This window comes from Homo sapiens, chromosome 14 (assembly GCF_000001405.40).
Source record: "Homo sapiens chromosome 14, GRCh38.p14 Primary Assembly".
Taxonomy (NCBI): Eukaryota; Metazoa; Chordata; class Mammalia; order Primates; family Hominidae; genus Homo; species Homo sapiens.
This window is the reverse complement of record NC_000014.9, coordinates 50073679-50090931: the sequence shown is the minus strand read 5'-3', so window position 1 is coordinate 50090931 and position 17253 is coordinate 50073679. Positions and strand designations below refer to the sequence as shown.

Here is a 17253-nt window from a genome sequence, read left to right as displayed (position 1 = left end):
AGTGGAGAAAGTCAGAGTAGTAGCTTATTTCATAAAGTTTGGTAGGAAACAGGAGAGAGACTGGGTTGAGAGGATTGTAGAAGTGCATGGGGAGGGAGGTTGTGGTTGAAGATAAACGGAGGTGACTAGCGGGTGGATAATTGATGGAGCGAAGGGTGGAAGAGCCTAGAGGGAAGGAATGGGCCAGGCACCGTGCTGACCACAGGCAGATTGATTCCTGAAAAAAAGAGTCACCTCTTCAGCAAGACTAAAGGAAGAGGGAGGGAAGTGAAGGTGGGGAGGGAAGGGAGAATGGAAGGAGATGTAGCTAAATTTGGACACAGAGGTGAAAGAGAAAATGGCTCACCCTAATGTCCTCAGGTTTTCACTGTTGAATGAAGGAAGGGACGTAAGCCCCGACATTAAAGCGCCAAAGTTGACAAGGATCCATTGCTGGGATGATTGGGGGTGGCATATGCGACTCAGAGAGGGCCATGTGGCCTGTTTGGGGGAGGTCAAGGGAAAACGAGGGGAAAGGAGAGCAAAGTTGGGGAAATAGGAATTATCTCTAGGGCCATCTTTTCTTCCCTCTCCCACTCACACCCCATGTATCAGGATCCTGAGGCCCATCTGGCCTTCCCCAAGTTCTGAAGTTCTCTCTCCTTCCCTCGTGGTGTACTTCTCTGGCTAAGTAACTACTTGCTGTTACTGGTTCAGTAGGTGCTCCTGGCTTTGTGTGCTCTCCTCTCTCAGGTACCAGTGTGATATTCTTAGAAGATGGGAGAGGCACAGTTAGATTTTGGTTCACATAGTCTGTGATACTTTGTTATGGCAGCCCCAACAAACTAATAAATTCATCTTACAGCTATATTTTAAAAGTATGAGTTATTAGCCGGGTGTGGTGGCATATGCCTGTAATCCCAGCTACTCAGGAGGCTGAGGCACAAGAATTTCTTGAACCTGGGAGGCAAAGGTTACAGTGAGCCAAGATCACGCCACTGAACTCCAACCTGGGCAACAGAGAGAGACTCTGTCTCAAATAAATAAATAAAATTTAAAAATTAAAAGTATGAAATATATTTCATCAGCATTTTAAGGATTATTTGATATGTCAAAAACTGAGTTATAGAGTAGTTTAGACTGTATAAATAAACTAATCATAAATATATTCAAGAAGAAGGTATTTGCTTAACAAAAGACTTAACATTAAACATTTGTTCAAATTCATCTACTCTTTTCAAGAAAAATATTTCTTAAAACAAGGTTTTGTTAACTATGGCAGAGTAGTCATTAATTTCCAGCAAACCTGGCTGCTTCCCCTATTAGCACATGGGATTAAATTATCTCCTGTGAAGGGACTGGTGTTTTGGGACATGGGACATTGTCTTAACCCAGGCAGCTATAACACATATACTGCAGACTGGTGGCTTAGACCAGGGGTCCCCAGTCCTTGGGCCGTGGACTGCTACTGGTCCATGGCCTGTTAGGACCTGAGGTGCAGAGCAGGAGATGAGCAGCACTCCAGTGAGCCCCACATCCTGCCAGATAAGCAGCGGCGTCAGATTCTCACAGGAGCGCAAACCCTGCTGTGAACTGTCATGTGAGGGATGGAGCTTGTGTGCTCCTTATGAGACTTTAATGCCTCCCACCACTGGTCCGTGGACAAATTGTCTTCCACAAAATGAGTCCCTGGTGTCAAAAAGGTTGGGGACTGCTGGCTTAGACAATAGAAATTTTGTTGTTTAATTTTTTCACAGTTCTCGAGGCTGGACAGTCCAAGATCAAGGTGCCTGCATCTGGCGTCTAGTGTGGACCCTATTCCTGGTTTGCAGGTGGGTGTCTTCTTGCTGTGTCCTCACTTGGCAGAGAGAAAAGAGAGAGCAAGCTCTTGTGTCTTTTTATAAGGGCACTAATACCATTCATGAGCCTGCCACCCTCATAACCCAGTCACCTCCCAAAGGCCCTGCCTCCTAATACCATTACATTGGAGGTTAGGATTTCAACATCGGAATTTGGGGAGGCCACAAACATTCAGTACATAACAAGTGCCTATAATAGAAATTCTTCTCACACCCTTTGAGTGCACACCACGCAGTGTGCTAGATGTCACTCCCAAATGTCATTCCCTGAATTCTCACAACAGGCCTAGGAGATGGGCAGGTATCCCATGGCACATACAAGAATATCAGAACTTAAAGTGGTTAAATAACCATCTGCAGTTACAGAGGTAATCATTAGGGAGAATGTTCCCTAGTTCTGATAGGCCAGGTGTAGATCCCAGCTCTGCTGCATCCCGGCAATGTGACCTCGGCAGGCAGCTCAACTCTCTGCCTCAGTTTCTTCATTTGTAAAGTGGAGACATGGTACTACGCACATCATGGGGTTGTTGGACAGATTAAATGAGATAATATATCTTCTTGGCACAAAGCCTGGCACGTATAAAGTCCTCTAATGTTAGCTATTATCATTGCTTTAAGAAATATGGTAAGTAAAAATAATATCAGACACTCTATAGCAGTGTTTACAAAGAGCTTTCTATTTTGTCAGATGAGGAAACCGAGGCTGAGAGAAGTTAAATGACTCAGCTGGGGCCCCCCAGCCAGTAAGCTGTGGGAAGGGGACTCAACCCAGCCTTTTGACTCCCAGCAGGGCAGAGCTGCAAACTTCTGACAGCCACTCCACTAGTCAATGTCCTTGAAATAATCAACGCTCCTATCTCAGCTTAAAAATCATGTGTGTGTGTGAGTGAATTTACTGTGGAGGAGGGAAATGGCTCAGACTCTTATCCTGCTGTTTAAAGTTCTTCTTGCCTTACATCTCTGCTAGTCAGGGTTCTCCAAAGAAACAGAAACAATAGGATGTGCATAGAGAGAGAGAGATTGGTTTTCAGGAATTGGCTCATGTGATGGAGGCTGGTCAGTCCAATATTTACAGGGTGGGCCAGCAGCTAAAGACCCAGTAAAGAGCTAATGTTGCAGTTGAGGTCTGAAGGCTGCTTGCTAGCAGACTCCTTCTTGCTCAGGAGAGGCCAGCCTTCTGTTCCATTCAGGCCTTCACATGATTGGTGAGGCTTATCAGACGTTATGGAGGGCCATCTGCTTTACTGAAAGTCAACCAATTTAAATGTCAATGTCATCTAAAAACACCCTCACCAGGAACACCCACAATAATGTTTGACCAAATATCTGGGCACTTTGGCCCAGCCAAATTGACATGTAAAATTAACCATCACAACATTTTTGCCTAGCTCCATCAAGAATTGGCTGAGAAATCTTATGCAAGGTACTGACCTTAACTCCCACTCACCACATGCCCTGGAAAGATGAAAAAGCACTGTAGGATAAGGTTGAGTCTTTGAACCCAACCCTCCCATCCTTTTTCTTTCAGAAGAAGAATGTTGTTAATGGAGCAATTCACTTTGTTTCATTTTCAGTCTATCCACTTGTGGTATCAGGCTGGTAGGTGAACCTTTTTTTTTTTTAAGTTTCCTCTTTTCTTTTGACATGGTGGTAATGTTTTACTTTTATATTAACTACAAGCTTGCATGCAACTAAAGGAACCAGGGAGGGAAGCTGTGTTTATAATCTTCTCTTTAATTGTGGTACTTGTTTAAGATTAGCTAAGCCTGGCTCATTTTTTAAAAGTCAATTTTATTGAGGTAGAACTGCTGATTGCAAAAGTAGGTTTAAAAAAAATTCCATATCTGTATAGAAATGGTATAAAACTAAAAGTTAAATTCTGTGTAAACTGAAATCGCACCATCTTGAATGTCAGGGAAAGGACATACTTTGTAAACTGGTCTTGATGATGGTGTGCCTAAAGTGCAGGGGCAAAATTTAGCCTTTTTTTTTTTTTTTTTTTTTTTTTTTTTTAGGCTAGTCAAGTGAAGCAGTGGGAGTGGAGAATGAATAAAGAAATCTGTAACTGATTATGATCAATTAGTTGTAAACACCAATGCACTCAGACCAGCCAAAAATTAGCCTCTTAAGTGTTAAAACTATAAAACAAAAAGCATGAGGCAGCAGATTTGTGAAAGTTTTAAAATTACCTCCAGTAATTTAAATTTAAATAATTTAATTAAATTATTAGGTAAACCCGCCAAGGCCAGTAAGCAGAAATTCTCACCCAGTAACCAAAGCAAGTAATAATTCTAATGGAATACTCAGCTGGGAAGATATCTGAAGTATGGCAACGGAAGGACTCTAATGAATAAACTAACTACCTTTTATTTATATGGTACTCTAAGGTTTTGAAAGGACTTTCATTGATATTAATCTTGTTTATTTCATCCTTACAACCACCTGATGCCATGGGACAGCCAGATCTCTTTCTCCCCATTGAGACTAAGAGAGGTCCAGGGTCATATAGCTGCAAACTGGCAGGGAACAGAACAGACTGAGATCATCTTTCCTCTGCATTATCATCAGTCCAAGGTCTTTGTAGGGTGCCTGAGACTCACATCTAGGGCCCGGGGTGGGTGAAGGAGAACGATGGACAGAATCATTATAGAAGAGAAGTATGGCTATTCTTGCAATTGACCCATCTCAAGAAAAATAGAGTTCATTCAAAATGGTATTGCCATTTTGAATTAGAGACTTTGGGTCATATAAATGTACAGGCCTGCACATTTACTCCCCAGAATGAGACAACCCAGAAGAAAAAAAAAAGAGAGGGAATGAGCACTTTAACAGAATTTAAATATTACTCACTTTTTCACTCCCAGACCTTGAGGAATGGCAGTGGAGGAGGGTGAGGGAAACAGTGCTGCTGGGGACAGTTCTCTCCCTGAGAGGAGAGAGTCACACCGCCAGAGCTGTGAAAGATGAATCACATCTTTTACATCAGGACTTGGTACAGATTTCCTGGGAAACTTGTCACTGAGGATATAATAGAGATGACTGTTCTTTTGGGGAGATTAGCATTTTCTGGAGGGAATAGTATAAATCAATTTGGGGTTAAATGGCAAATTAAGATGAAAATTAAACGAGTGTAAAAGCCCACAGCTTTTGTGGGCTGTGTTCACCTCTCCAGGAAGTCAGCATGGCCAGACTACGTGAAAGAGAAAATGTCAGACTTGGTCGCAAAAGTGAAAAGGGGTGATATTTTTGATCTCACCTTCCTTGACAGGAGGGGTTCTTTTTAAAATCGAGACGACACCTCTCAGTTTACAAGGCACTCCCCTGTGTATCATTTACGCTCTACCAAGCAGATGCATGGTTCCCGTTTTCTAGATGAGATAGCTCAAGGCCACAGCTAAAGGCACATACTGGGCCTGCAGCTCAAAACCCGTGTCCTCTCCACTCCATCACGAGGCTGACCCCCTCAGTCTCTAGATGGGGGCAGAGTGGCTGATGCAATGACTTATTGGCTCCTTGTTATAAAGGTAACCAACCATATTGTTCTGCCCAGACATGGGAGAGTCCTGGTCAAACTAAGATAATTGGTCACCCTACTTCTGTATTTTCATTAGTACTCACAGGAGATTCTCCAAGAACCACACTGAATGCTAAGACATTTTAGGACACAGCTATATATGCATGGGATTTGCATATAGTTTCATTCTACCCAAACAGTATTTGCCAGCATTTTAAAATTTACTCTTAACCTCCTAAGATTGCTATTTTGATTTCTTTTTCTTCTTCACTTCTTTATAGTTCTTCATTGTTATTGTCTCAGATCACCAAAAAGTGGACAGGGAGGAGGAGTGGAAGCAAGGAAAAATAAGGAAAGAAATACACTGGATCCCATTGTTTACAATGTGGTCTTGGCTCCAGTGTGTTGAGGACCGATCTATAGCAGGAATTCCCAAACTTGAACATGGTGGTGGGTAGCCTCTAAGACAGCCCCCAGGATTCCCGCCTCTTGCCATTCATGCTCTTGGGTAATTATCTTCCCTCTTCCCTTGAGTAGATTTGTCTTGAGGGCTCACTTTTGTGTTTGTGCTTCACCTCCACCCCCTACTTCTCTCTTTCTCTCCCTCTCTCCCCTTCCCTTTCTCCCTCCATCCCTCCATCTCCTTTCTAACCCTGGGAAAGGCCAGATGCCATGCTGTGAGCAGCCCTATAGACAGGTCCCTGTGGTGAGGAACTGATGTTTCCAGGACCCAAGGCCTGCTGAGGGCCAGTTAGGTGAGCTTGGAAGCAGACTCCCTAGCACCAGCGAAGGCTTGAGATGACAAACATCTTGACTGCAGCGCCATGAAAGACCACGAGCCAGGATCATAAGGCCAAGTCAGTCCCAAAGTCCTCACCCATATAAACTACAAGGTGATAAATATTGGTGGTTTTCAGCCTGATTTTTAGGGTAATTTGTTCAGAAGCAATAGATAACTAATACAAATGTATATCAGAACCACTTAGATAACAACTTAATAAAATGTGTATTCTGGGTCGCACCCCCAGAGATATTATTCAACAGATGTGGCCTGAGATCTTTGCCTTTTCACCAGGAATCCCAGGAGAATCTGAACTGAACAAATTTCTGCTTGAGAGCACATAGAATTAACTCTCACCTGGGAAGGCCTGGCCAGAGGGAAGACCATAAGGAAGGCAGAATTGCCAGATAAAAACAAGATGCCCAGTTATATTTAAATTTCAGATAAGTAACAAATAATGTTTTAGTCTTAAATGTACCCCATGCAGTATGTGGGACATATTTACATAGAAACAGGATTTGCCGATTATCTGAAATTCAGATGTAACTGAGTGTTCTGTATTTCTGTTTGCTAAATACCATCCAGAGATCCCACAGGAAGTGAAGGCCCAGTGGGAAGTAAAGTGGTGCCTCCTTTTCCTGGATGGCAGGATTTTTCTCCTTAAGGACATGGAGGCCTAGGCGCTTCCTTCCTGTGGGGAGGTGGCCTCCAATGGCCTCGAAGTCTTGGTGTCCTTCTCCCCGAGGAGTTGCAGGTTGCCCAGGATGGGTCCTGCCCCTCCCACTCCAGACTCGCACCAGACTGAGTCACTCCTGGATGTTCTGGTGGGAGGGTTTTGGGGAGTCCCCCACACAGCCCCACCTCGCCTCCAAGAGGCTGGAGGCCCCACAGGTGGGTGCGGTGTTGGTGGCCAGCCCCTTGGTGGCCGTGGCCAGTGGGTGGGCGAGGAGACTGGTCCAGTTGGTGGACCTCATGCCTGGTGGGTGCCGCCCACGGCACCGGGTACTTCCTTGGTCCTTTTGGTGCTGTTGGCACAGCCTTTCCAGAGCAGCGAATGGATGCCAGTCTCCTCCCACACCCCTCCAGGAACGCAGACCAACACAGCTGCTCTATTAAATGTGTGCACTTCTTATTCTGAGTATGTCTGAGTCTCTGATGAGCTCTATTTATTGCAGCCCTCAGCCCTGTAAAGAGGAGGATGGTTCCAAAGAGCCCTGAATGCGGGCGGTTTTATGAATCAGCCTCTCACTTCTTTGTATATACTTTCTTGTCACGGGAACAGCCTTAATTTTGATGTTTATTTTGAACTATGAAATATAAGATGAATGAGAGTATGAGTGTATATATGAGCATGTGTGTATGAGCGAGAGAGAGAAAGACAGAGAGAGATTGGCTGGATAGACTGAAATGCTTAAGGCAGGGATGGAAGATGAAGACTGAGAAAATGTGTGGCTGTGGTAGAATCAGAAACTTTAATATGTGCTTTGAAAGCAGACCTGAAAGTGAGGTGACATCACTCTGCTGTGGTTCGGCCTCACTCAGCGGCCTGATGCAAGCCAAACACCCACAGGAGGGGAACTCCGCTCAGTCTCTCTCCTGAGAGAAACTCTGGAGGTGTCTGGCCTTTTGAGAGCAAGGAGGAGGTTTGGAATCAAGTGTGCAGAAGCTCTGCTTGTCCTGGACGCTCTTAAAGGCTCCAGGAGAACACTTTGGGTGCTGCTTTATATGAATAAAACCAGCATGGCTAAAAAAAACATATTCAAAAAGTAGAATCCAAGGATGATGGTGCACATCACTGCACATCTTGCACGTCAGGAAGAATCCCACGTTCCTGGACCCCCATCCCCGGTGTAGCTGACTTGGAAAGCTGAAGAAGACCACGAAGCTAGATTTATAGGATGTTACAGAGCCAGCAGGTACTTTAATAATCTAGGCTAGGGCCCAGTGCAGTGGCTCCTGCCTGTAATCCCAGCACTTTTAGGGGCCAAGGCGGGAGGATTGCTTGAGCCCAGGAATTCAAGACCAGCCTGGACAACATAGCGAGCCTCTGTCTCTACAAAAAGTAAAAAATTAGCAGGGCATGGTGGTGCAGGCCTGTAGTTACAGTACTCAGGAAGCTGAGGCAGGAGGATCGCTTGAGCTCAGGAGATCAAGTCTGCAGTGTGCACTCCAGCCTGGGCGACAGAGCGAGACCCTATCTCCAACAAACAAACACAAAAAATCCGGCCAGGTTCCTGTCTAACAAAGAAGAAGCAAGGCTCCCACTTAGGCCTTCAGTTTGACTTCTCTGGGCATCTGAAGAATTAGTAGCAACCTCACAGATTTACTGTGAAGATTAATTGCAATGACGTATATAAAGCCCTCGGCACTTTGCACTCAGTAAGTGGGAGCTGTTATTATTTCACGGGTTCTGTGTGCTTGAGTGCATGGTGGCAAGGTTGGGGTGGGCGGGGGGAGCTGTTTCAGCATAGTATAAGAAAGAGCTCAGCTTCCTGAGACAGGGTTCTTATATATTTAGAGTCTTTTTAATTGGAAAGGACAAAATAGGCCATTTAATTCAATCCCTTTGTTTTAGAGCTGATGAAGCTGAGCTCCAGACAAGTGAGGGCTTGCTCTGGATCACACGACGGCCTCCTGTTCGGGAATCCTGTATCATGCCTACACAGTAGGGAAACTGCTGTGCTTTTAGCCTAGAAACTCCGCTGCGAGTTATTTACGCAGCAGCAGATGGGAGTTCCTGCACACTAGACCAAGTGCTTGGTTGGATCTTTTCAGAGACCACCGGCGCCATCACGGTGGGCCCCCGAACTTTTGTAAATGAATGAAAATACTACATAGAATTACATACAAAGGCAAGTCTGGATTTGAAATTAATGACCGCGGGATTCAGAAATGATTTTGAGATAAAATGAATAGTTCAAGAAAATTTGCGTTGCAGTAGACAACACTGCTTAGGAAAACTCCTCCTCTGTAGAATTTCAGAGACAAAGATCATGACTGTTATTTTAATTCATAGCCTCAGGGTGTTTGGAGAGAGGAGGAAGAGTGAGAGTTCTGAAGCTCTTTTTTTTTTTTTCTTTTTGAGACAGAGTCTCGCTCTGTCACCCAGGCTGGAGTGCAGTGGTGTGATCTCAGCTCATTGCAAACTCTGCCTCCCAGGTTCAAGCGATTCTCCTGCCTCAGCCTCCTAAGTAGCTGGGACTACAGGTATATGCCACCATACCCAGCTAATTTTTGTATTTTTAGTGGAGACAGGGTTTCACCATGTTGGCCAGGATGGTCTTGATCTCCTGACCTCGTGATCTGCCTGCCTTGGCCTCCCAAAGTGCTGGGATTACAGGCTTGAGCCACAGCTGTGCGGAAATAGGACTGTTTTCTCTTTCTGAAATAGAATAGCTTTTAAATATATAGCAATGTCTAGCATTGGTCAAGCGTTTGGTATGTATTTTACTTATTTGTTTAATCTTCACAACAACCTTAGGAGATAGGTGCTAGAATTATCCCATTTACAGATAAGAACACTGAGACCAAAGAGTAGCTTATTCATGGTCAAATAGCTAGTAAACAGCAGCATTGGGACCAAATCTCTGATTCTGGCTTCAGAGCCATTCTCTACCCTTTTGAGAGAGTCCAGGTACCAAACCTATGAGACTAAGAACTATTAAACATTCCCTGTGCACGTGTGCATTTCATCACATTACTATGCCAAGGTTAAGTGTATGCAGCTGAATCCTCTTGGTGCTTAACACCCTAGTCTACCCCTACCATACTGTTGGTCTGGAAATTCTGCAGAAACATGGGTGGGATCTTTTATTTTCTAATCTCCAGTGCTCAGCCCTTACTTTATGGCTGCTGGAAGAAAAGCAGGAACTAGCACTGCTCTTTAGGCCATAAATGGCATAAGGAGCCAGCACCAGGCTTAGTATTAATAGGTTTTTTGTTGTTGTTGTTTGTTTTTGAGACAGAGTCTCACTCTTTTGCCCAGAGCTGGAGTGCAATGGAGCCATCTTGGCTCACTGCAACCTCTGCCTCCCGGGTTCAAGCAATTCTCCTGCCTTAGCCTCCCAAGTAGCTGGGATTACAAGGTAACTGCCACCATGCAGGGCTATTTTTTTTTTTTTTTTTTTGTATTTTTATTAGAGACAGGGTTTCGCCATGTTGGCCAGGCTGGGCTTGAACTCCTGACCTCAGGTGATCTGCCCGCCTCAGGTGATCCACCGCACCTGGCCTGGATGTATACAAATTTATCATATATTAAAGAATATTTTAGGCCAGGTGCAGTGGCTCACGCCTGTAATCCCAGCACTATGGGAGGCTGAGGCAGGCAGATCACCTGAGGTCAGGAGTTCAAGACCAGCCTGGCCAACATGGTGAAACCCTGTCTGTACTAAAAATATAAAAATTACCCGGGTGTGGTGGCAGGTGCCCATAATCCCAATTATTTGAGAGGCTGCAGCAGGAGAATTGCTTGAACCTGGGATGCAGAGGTTGCAGTTAGCAGAGATCACGCCACTGCACTCCAGCCTGGGTGACAGAGCAAGACTCCATCTCAAAAGAAAAAAAAAAGAATATTTCTATTGGGTCTCATCTTACAGATAATGCTGAAATAAATATTTACACACGTGTGTTTTTGTCTTGGACTGGTTTCGTTATTATTTATGAAAAAAAATCCTAGAATTGGAATCGTTAGGTCAAAGAATATTTGTATTCTAAATTTTAATTGATATTTGCATATGCCACAAAGAGGTTGCACCAATTTGCTCTCAGTGAGAAGGAATTTTCTTTTCTTTTTTTTTTTTTTATATTTTAATTTTACCTTAAGTTCTAGGGTACATGTGCACAACGTGCAGGCTTGTTACCTATGTATACGTGTGCCATGTTGGTGTACTGCACCCATTAACTCATCATTTACATTAGGTATATCTCCTAATGCTATCCCTCCCCCCTCCCCCAACCCCACAACAGGCCCCAGTGTGTGATGTTCCCCTTCCTGTGTCCATGTGTTCTCATTGTTCAGTTCCCACCTATGAGTGAGAACATGCGGTGTTTGGTTTTTTGTCCTTGGGATAGTTTGCTGAGAATGATGGTTTCCAGCTTCATCCATGTCCCTACAAAGGACATGAACTCATCATTTTTTATGGCTGCGTAGTATTCCATGGTGTATATGTGCCACATTTTCTTAATCCAGTCTATCATTGTTGGACATTTGGGTTGGTTCCAAGTCTTTGCTATTGTGAATAGTGCCACAGTAAACATACATGTGCATGGGTCTTTATAGCAGCATGATTTATAATACTTTGGGTATATACCCAGTAATGGGATGGCTGGGTCAAATGGTATTTCTAGTTCTAGATCCCTGAGGAATCACCACACTGTCTTCCACAATGGTTGAAATAGTTTGCAGTCCCACCAACAGTGTAAAAGTGCTCCTGTTTCTCCACATCCTCTCCAGCACCTGTTGTTTCCTGACTTTTTAATGATTGCCATTCTAACTGGTATGAGATGGTATCTCATTGTGGTTTTGATTTGCATTTCTCTGATGGCCAGTGATGATGAGCATTGTTTCATGTGTCTGTTGGCTGCATAAATGTCTTCTTTTGAGAAGTGTCTGTTCATATCCTTCGCCCACTTGTTGATGGGGTTGCTTGTTTTTTTCTTGTAAATTTGTTTGAGTTCTTTGTAGATTCTGGATATTAGCCCTTTGTCAGACGGGGAGATTGAAAAAATTTTCTCCCATTCTGTAGGTTGCCTGTTCACTGTGATGGTAGTTTCTTTTGCTGTGCAGAAGCTCTTTAGTTTAATTAGATCCCATTTGTCAATTTTGGCTTTTGTTGCCATTGCTTTTGGTGTCTTAGACATGAAGTCCTTGCCCATGCCTATGTCCTGAATGGTATTGCCTAGGTTTTCTTCTAGGGTTTTTATGTTTTTAGGTCTAACACTTAAGTCTTTAATCCATCTTGAATTAATTTTTGTATAAGGTGTAAGGAAGGGATCCAGTTTCAGCTTTCTACATATGGCAAGCCAGTTTTCCCAGCACCATTTGTTAAATAGGGAATCCTTTCCCCATTTCTTGTTTTTGTCAGGTTTGTCAAAGATCAGATAGTCATAGATGTGTGGTATTATTTCTGAGGGCTCTGTTCTGTTCCATTGGTCTGTATCTCTCTTTTGGTACCAGTACCATGCTGTTTTGGTTACTGTAGCCTTGCAGTATAGTTTGAAGTCAGGTAGCGTGATGCCTCCAGCTTTGTTCTTTTGGCTTAGGATTGACTTGGCAATGCGGGCTCTTTTTTGGTTCCATATGAACTTTAAAGTAGTTTTTTCCAATTCTATGAAGAAAGTCATTGGTAGCTTGATGGGGATGGCATTGAATCTATAAATTACCTTGGGGAGTATGGCCATTTTCACGATATTGATTCTTCCGATCCATGAGCATGGAATGTTCTTCCATTTGTTTGTATCCTCTTTTATTTCATTGAGCAGTGGTTTGTAGTTCTCCTTGAAGAGGTCCTTCACATCCCTTGTAAGTTGGATTCCTAGGTATTTTATTCTCTTTAAAGTAATTGTGAATGGGAGTTCACTCGTGATTTGGCTCTCTGTTTGTCTGTTATTGGTGTATAAGAATGCTTGTGATTTTTGCACATTGATTTTGTATCCTGAGACTTTGCTGAAGTTGTTTATCAGCTTAAGGAGATTTTGGGCTGAGACGATGTGGTTTTCTAGATATACAATCATGTCATCTGCAAACACGGACAATTTGACTTCCTCTTTTCCTAATTGAATAACCTTTATTTCTTTCTCTTGTCTGATTGCCCTGGCCAGAACTTCCAACACTATGTTGAACAGGAGCGGTGAGAGAGGGCATCCCTGTCTTGTGCCAGTTTTCAAAGGGAATGCTTCCAGTTTTTGCCCATTCAGTATGATATTGGCTGTGGGTTTGTCATAAGTAGCTCTTATTATTTTGAGATACGTCCCATCAATACCTAATTTATTGAGAGTTTTTAGCATGAAGGGCTGTTGAATTTTGTCAAAGGCCTTTTCTGCATCTATTGAGATAATCATGTGGTTTTTGTCTTTGGTTCTGTTTATATGCTGGATTACGTTTATTGATTTGCACATGTTGAACCAGCCTTGCATCCCAGGGATGAAGCCCACTTGATCATGCTGAATAAGCTTTTTGATGTGCTGCTGGATTCAGTTTGCCAGTATTTTATTGAGGATTTTTGCATCAATGTTCATCAGGGATATTGGTCTAAAATTCTCTTTTTTTGTTGTGTCTCTGCCAGGCTTTGGTATCAGGATGATGCTGGCCTCATAAAATGAGTTAGGGAGGATTCCCTCTTTTTCTATTGATTGGAATAGTTTCAGAAGGAATGGTACCAGCTCCTCCTTGTACCTCTGGTAGAATTCGGCTGTGAATCCATCTGGTCCTGGACTTTTTTGGGTTGGTAAGCTATTAATTATTGCCTCAATTTCAGAGCCTGTTATTGGTCTATTCAGAGATTCAACTTCTTCCTGGTTTAGTCTTGGGATGGTGTATGTGTTGAGGAATTTATCCATTTCTTCTAGTTTTCTAGTTTATTTGCATAGAGGTGTTTATAGTATTCTCTGATGGTAGTTTGTATTTCTGTGGGATCGGTGGTGATATCCCCTTCATCATTTTTTATTGCATCTATTTGATTCTTCTCTCTTTTCCTCTTTATTAGTCTTGCTAGTGGTCTATCAATTTTGTTGATCTTTTCAAAAAACCAGCTCCTGGATTCATTGATTTTTTGAAGGGTTTTTTGTGTCTCTATCTCCTTCAGTTCTGCTCTGATCTTAGTTATTTCTTGCCTTCTGCTAGCTTTTGAATGTGTTTGCTCTTGCTTCTCTAGTTCTTTGAATTGTGATGTTAGGGTGTTAAGTTTAGATCTTTCCTGCTTTCTCTTGTGGGCATTTAGTGCTATAAATTTCCCTCTACACACTGCTTTAAATGTGTCCCAGAGATTCTGGTATGTTGTGTCTTTGTTCTCATTGGTTTCAAATAACATCTTTATGTCTGCCTTCATTTCGTTATGTACCCAGTAGTCATTCAGGAGCAGGTTGTTCAGTTTCCATGTGGTTGAGCAGTTTTGGGTGAGTTTCCTAATCCTGAGTTCTAGTTTGATTGCACTGTGGTCTGAGAGACAGTTTGTTATAATTTCTGTTCTTTTACATTTGCTGATGAGTGCTTTACTTCCAACTATGTGGTCAATTTTGGAATAAGTGCGATGTGGTGCTAAGAAGAATGTATATTCTGTTGATTTGGGGTGGAGAGTTCTGTAGATGTCTATTGGGTCTGCTTGGTCCACAGCTGAGTTCAATTCCTGGTTATCCTTGTTAACTTTCTGTGTCGTTGATCTGTCTAATGTTGACAGTGGGGTGTTAAAGTCTCCCATTATTATTGTGTGGGAGTCTAAGTCTCTTTGTAGGTCTCTAAGGACTTGCTTTATGAATCTGGGTGCTCCTGTATTGGGTGCATATATATTTAGGATAGTTAGCTCTTCTTGTTGAATTGATCCCTTTACCATTATGTAATGGCCTTTTTTGTCTCTTTTGATCTTTGTTGGTTTAAAGTCTGTTTTATCAGAGACTAGGATTGCAACCCCTGCCTTTTTTTGTTTTCCATTTGCTTGGTAGATCTTCCTCCATCCCTTTATTTTGAGCCTATGTGTGTCTCTGCACATGAGATGGGTTTCCTGAATATAGCACACTGATGGGTCTTGACTATCCAATTTGCCAGTCTGTGTCTTTTAACTGGAGCATTTAGCCCACTTACATTTAAGGTTAATATTGTTTTGTGTGAATTTGATGCTGTCATTATGATGTTAGCTGGTTATTTTGCTCATTAGTTGATGCAGTTTCTTCCTAGCCTCAACGGTCTTTACAACTTGGCATGTTTTTCCAGTGGCTGGTACAGGTTGTTCCTTTCCATGTTTAGTGCTTCCTTCAGGAGCTCTTGTAGGGCAGGCCTGGTGGTGACAAAATCTCGCAGCATTTGCTTGTCTGTAAAGGATTTTATTTCTCCTTCACTTATGAAGCTTAGTTTGGCTGGATATGAAATTCTGGGTTGAAAATTCTTTTCTTTAAGAATGTTGAATATTGGCCCCCACTCTCTTCTGGCTTGTAGGGTTTCTGGCTGTAGAGAGATCAGCTGTTAGTCTGATGGGCTTCCCTTTGTGGGTAACCCGACCTTTCTCTCTGGCTGCCCTTAACATTTTTTCCTTCATTTCAACTTTAGTGAATCTGACAATTATGTGTCTTTGAGTTGCTCTTCTCAAGGAGTATCTTTGTGGCCTTCTCTGAATTCCCTGGATTTGAATGTTGGCCTGCCTTGCTAGGTTGGGGAAGCTCTCCTGGATAATATCCTGCAGAGTGTTTTCCAACTTGGTTCCATTCTCCCCGTCACTTTCAGGTACACCAATCAGATGTAGATTTGGTCTTTTCACATCGTCCCATATTTCTTGGAGGATTTGTTCATTTCTTTTTATTCCTTTTTCTCTAAACTTCTCTTCTCGCTTCATTTCATTCATTTGATCTTCAGTCACTGATACCCTTTCTTCCATTTGATCGAATCAGCTACGGAAGCTTGTGCATTCGTCACGTAGTTCTCGTGCCATGGTTTTCGGCTCCATCAGGTCATTTAAGGCCTTCTCTACACTGGTTATTCTAGTTAGCCATTCGTCTAATCTTTTTTCAAGGTTTTTAACTTCTTTGCGATGGGTTCGAACTTCCTCCTTTAGCTCAGAGAAGTTTGATCATCTGAAGCCTTCTTCTCTCAACTCATCAAAGTCATTCTCCGTCCAGCTTTGTTCCATTGCTGGTGAGGAGCTGCGTTCCTTTTTTTTTTTTTTTTTTTTTAAATTTATTTTTTTATTGATAATTCTTGGGTGTTTCTCACAGAGGGGGATTTGGCAGGGTCATGGGACAATAGTGGAGGGAAGGTCAGCAGATAAACAAGTGAACAAAGGTCTCTGGTTTTCCTAGGCAGAGGACCCTGCGGCCTTCCGCAGTGTTTGTGTCCCTGATTACTTGAGATTAGGGATTGGCGATGACTCTTAACGAGCATGCTGCTTTCAAGCATCTGTTTAACAAAGCACATCTTGCACCGCCCTTAATCCATTTAACCCTGAGTGGACACAGCACATGTTTCAGAGAGCACAGGGTTGGGGGTAAGGTCACAGATCAACAGGATCCCAAGGCAGAGGAATTTTTCTTAGTGCAGAACAAAATGAAAAGTCTCCCATGTCTTCTACTTTCTACACAGACACGGCAACCATCCGATTTCTCAATCTTTTCCCCACCTTTCCCGCCTTTCTATTCCACAAAGCCGCCATTGTCATCCTGGCCCGTTCTCAATGAGCTGTTGGGCACACCTCCCAGACGGGGTGGTGGCCGGGCAGAGGGGCTCCTCACTTCCCAGATGGGGCGGCGGGGCAGAGGCGCTCCCCACATCTCAGACGGGGTCTCGGCCGGGCAGAGGCGCTCCTCACATCCCAGATGGGGCGGCGGGGCAGAGGCGCTCCCCACATCTCAGACGATGGGCGGCCGGGCAGAGACGCTCCTCACTTCCTAGATGTGATGGCGGCTGGGAAGAGGCGCTCCTCACTTCCTAGATGGGATGGCGGCCGGGCGGAGACGCTCCTCACTTTCCAGACTGGGCAGCCAGGCAGAGGGGCTCCTCACATCCCAGACGATGGGTGGCCAGGCAGAGACACTCCTCACTTCCCAGACGGGGTGGCGGCCGGGCAGAGCCTGCAATCTCGGCACTTTGGGAGGCCAAGGCAGGCGGCTGCTCCTTGCCCTCGGGCCCCGCGGGGTCCGTCCGCTCCTCCAGCCGCTGCCTCCCGGGCGGCGCTCGCCGGCGGGGCGGCAAAGACTGAGACAGCTCCGCTGCCCGCTGAACTCCATCCTCCCGGCGGTCGGGCGGCGGCAGCTGCGGTCGGTCGCGGCAGCGGCTCCGCTTCATATCCGGTATCCATATTTCTAAGAAAGGTCTGCTTAAGGAAATCTAGGCTTTTTCTATCAAGCTCCTCAAAATTCTTCCAGCCTTCACTCACTGTGTAATTCCAAAGTCATTCCCACATTTTTAGATATTTGTTATA

At 43.9% G+C, this 17253-nt stretch overlaps 1 long non-coding RNA gene across 1 annotated transcript in view, besides 9 other annotated features; it reads left to right on the top strand.

Annotated features, from left to right (window-relative positions):
• Positions 1–17253, top strand: part of LINC01599 (long intergenic non-protein coding RNA 1599) — a 97731-nt gene that overhangs the window by 14112 nt on the left and 66366 nt on the right. Inside the window, exon 2 of the long non-coding RNA NR_131171.1 lies at positions 1737–1811. This is a non-coding gene — a long non-coding RNA (long intergenic non-protein coding RNA 1599). The remainder of the gene's footprint in view (positions 1–1736; positions 1812–17253) is intronic.
• Positions 4671–4720: an enhancer, noted in NCBI's record as "active region_8352". NCBI's record gives its function as "activates an Ori minimal core promoter by ATAC-STARR-seq in GM12878 lymphoblastoid cells {active_cell/tissue: GM12878}" and the evidence as "EXISTENCE:reporter gene assay evidence [ECO:0000049][PMID:35858748]".
• Positions 5251–5410: an enhancer, noted in NCBI's record as "active region_8351". NCBI's record gives its function as "activates an Ori minimal core promoter by ATAC-STARR-seq in GM12878 lymphoblastoid cells {active_cell/tissue: GM12878}" and the evidence as "EXISTENCE:reporter gene assay evidence [ECO:0000049][PMID:35858748]".
• Positions 5451–5500: an enhancer, noted in NCBI's record as "active region_8350". NCBI's record gives its function as "activates an Ori minimal core promoter by ATAC-STARR-seq in GM12878 lymphoblastoid cells {active_cell/tissue: GM12878}" and the evidence as "EXISTENCE:reporter gene assay evidence [ECO:0000049][PMID:35858748]".
• Positions 6494–7000: an enhancer, noted in NCBI's record as "H3K4me1 hESC enhancer chr14:50550650-50551156 (GRCh37/hg19 assembly coordinates)". NCBI's record gives its function as "activates a minimal SCP1, AML or CMV promoter by ChIP-STARR-seq in naive and primed H9 embryonic stem cells {active_cell/tissue: H9 hESC(naive and primed)}" and the evidence as "EXISTENCE:reporter gene assay evidence [ECO:0000049][PMID:30033119]".
• Positions 7333–7402: an enhancer, noted in NCBI's record as "active region_8349". NCBI's record gives its function as "activates an Ori minimal core promoter by ATAC-STARR-seq in GM12878 lymphoblastoid cells {active_cell/tissue: GM12878}" and the evidence as "EXISTENCE:reporter gene assay evidence [ECO:0000049][PMID:35858748]".
• Positions 7673–7792: an enhancer, noted in NCBI's record as "active region_8348". NCBI's record gives its function as "activates an Ori minimal core promoter by ATAC-STARR-seq in GM12878 lymphoblastoid cells {active_cell/tissue: GM12878}" and the evidence as "EXISTENCE:reporter gene assay evidence [ECO:0000049][PMID:35858748]".
• Positions 7923–7972: an enhancer, noted in NCBI's record as "active region_8347". NCBI's record gives its function as "activates an Ori minimal core promoter by ATAC-STARR-seq in GM12878 lymphoblastoid cells {active_cell/tissue: GM12878}" and the evidence as "EXISTENCE:reporter gene assay evidence [ECO:0000049][PMID:35858748]".
• Positions 8013–8072: an enhancer, noted in NCBI's record as "active region_8346". NCBI's record gives its function as "activates an Ori minimal core promoter by ATAC-STARR-seq in GM12878 lymphoblastoid cells {active_cell/tissue: GM12878}" and the evidence as "EXISTENCE:reporter gene assay evidence [ECO:0000049][PMID:35858748]".
• Positions 15945–16490: an enhancer, noted in NCBI's record as "NANOG-H3K27ac hESC enhancer chr14:50541160-50541705 (GRCh37/hg19 assembly coordinates)". NCBI's record gives its function as "activates a minimal SCP1, AML or CMV promoter by ChIP-STARR-seq in naive H9 embryonic stem cells {active_cell/tissue: H9 hESC(naive)}" and the evidence as "EXISTENCE:reporter gene assay evidence [ECO:0000049][PMID:30033119]".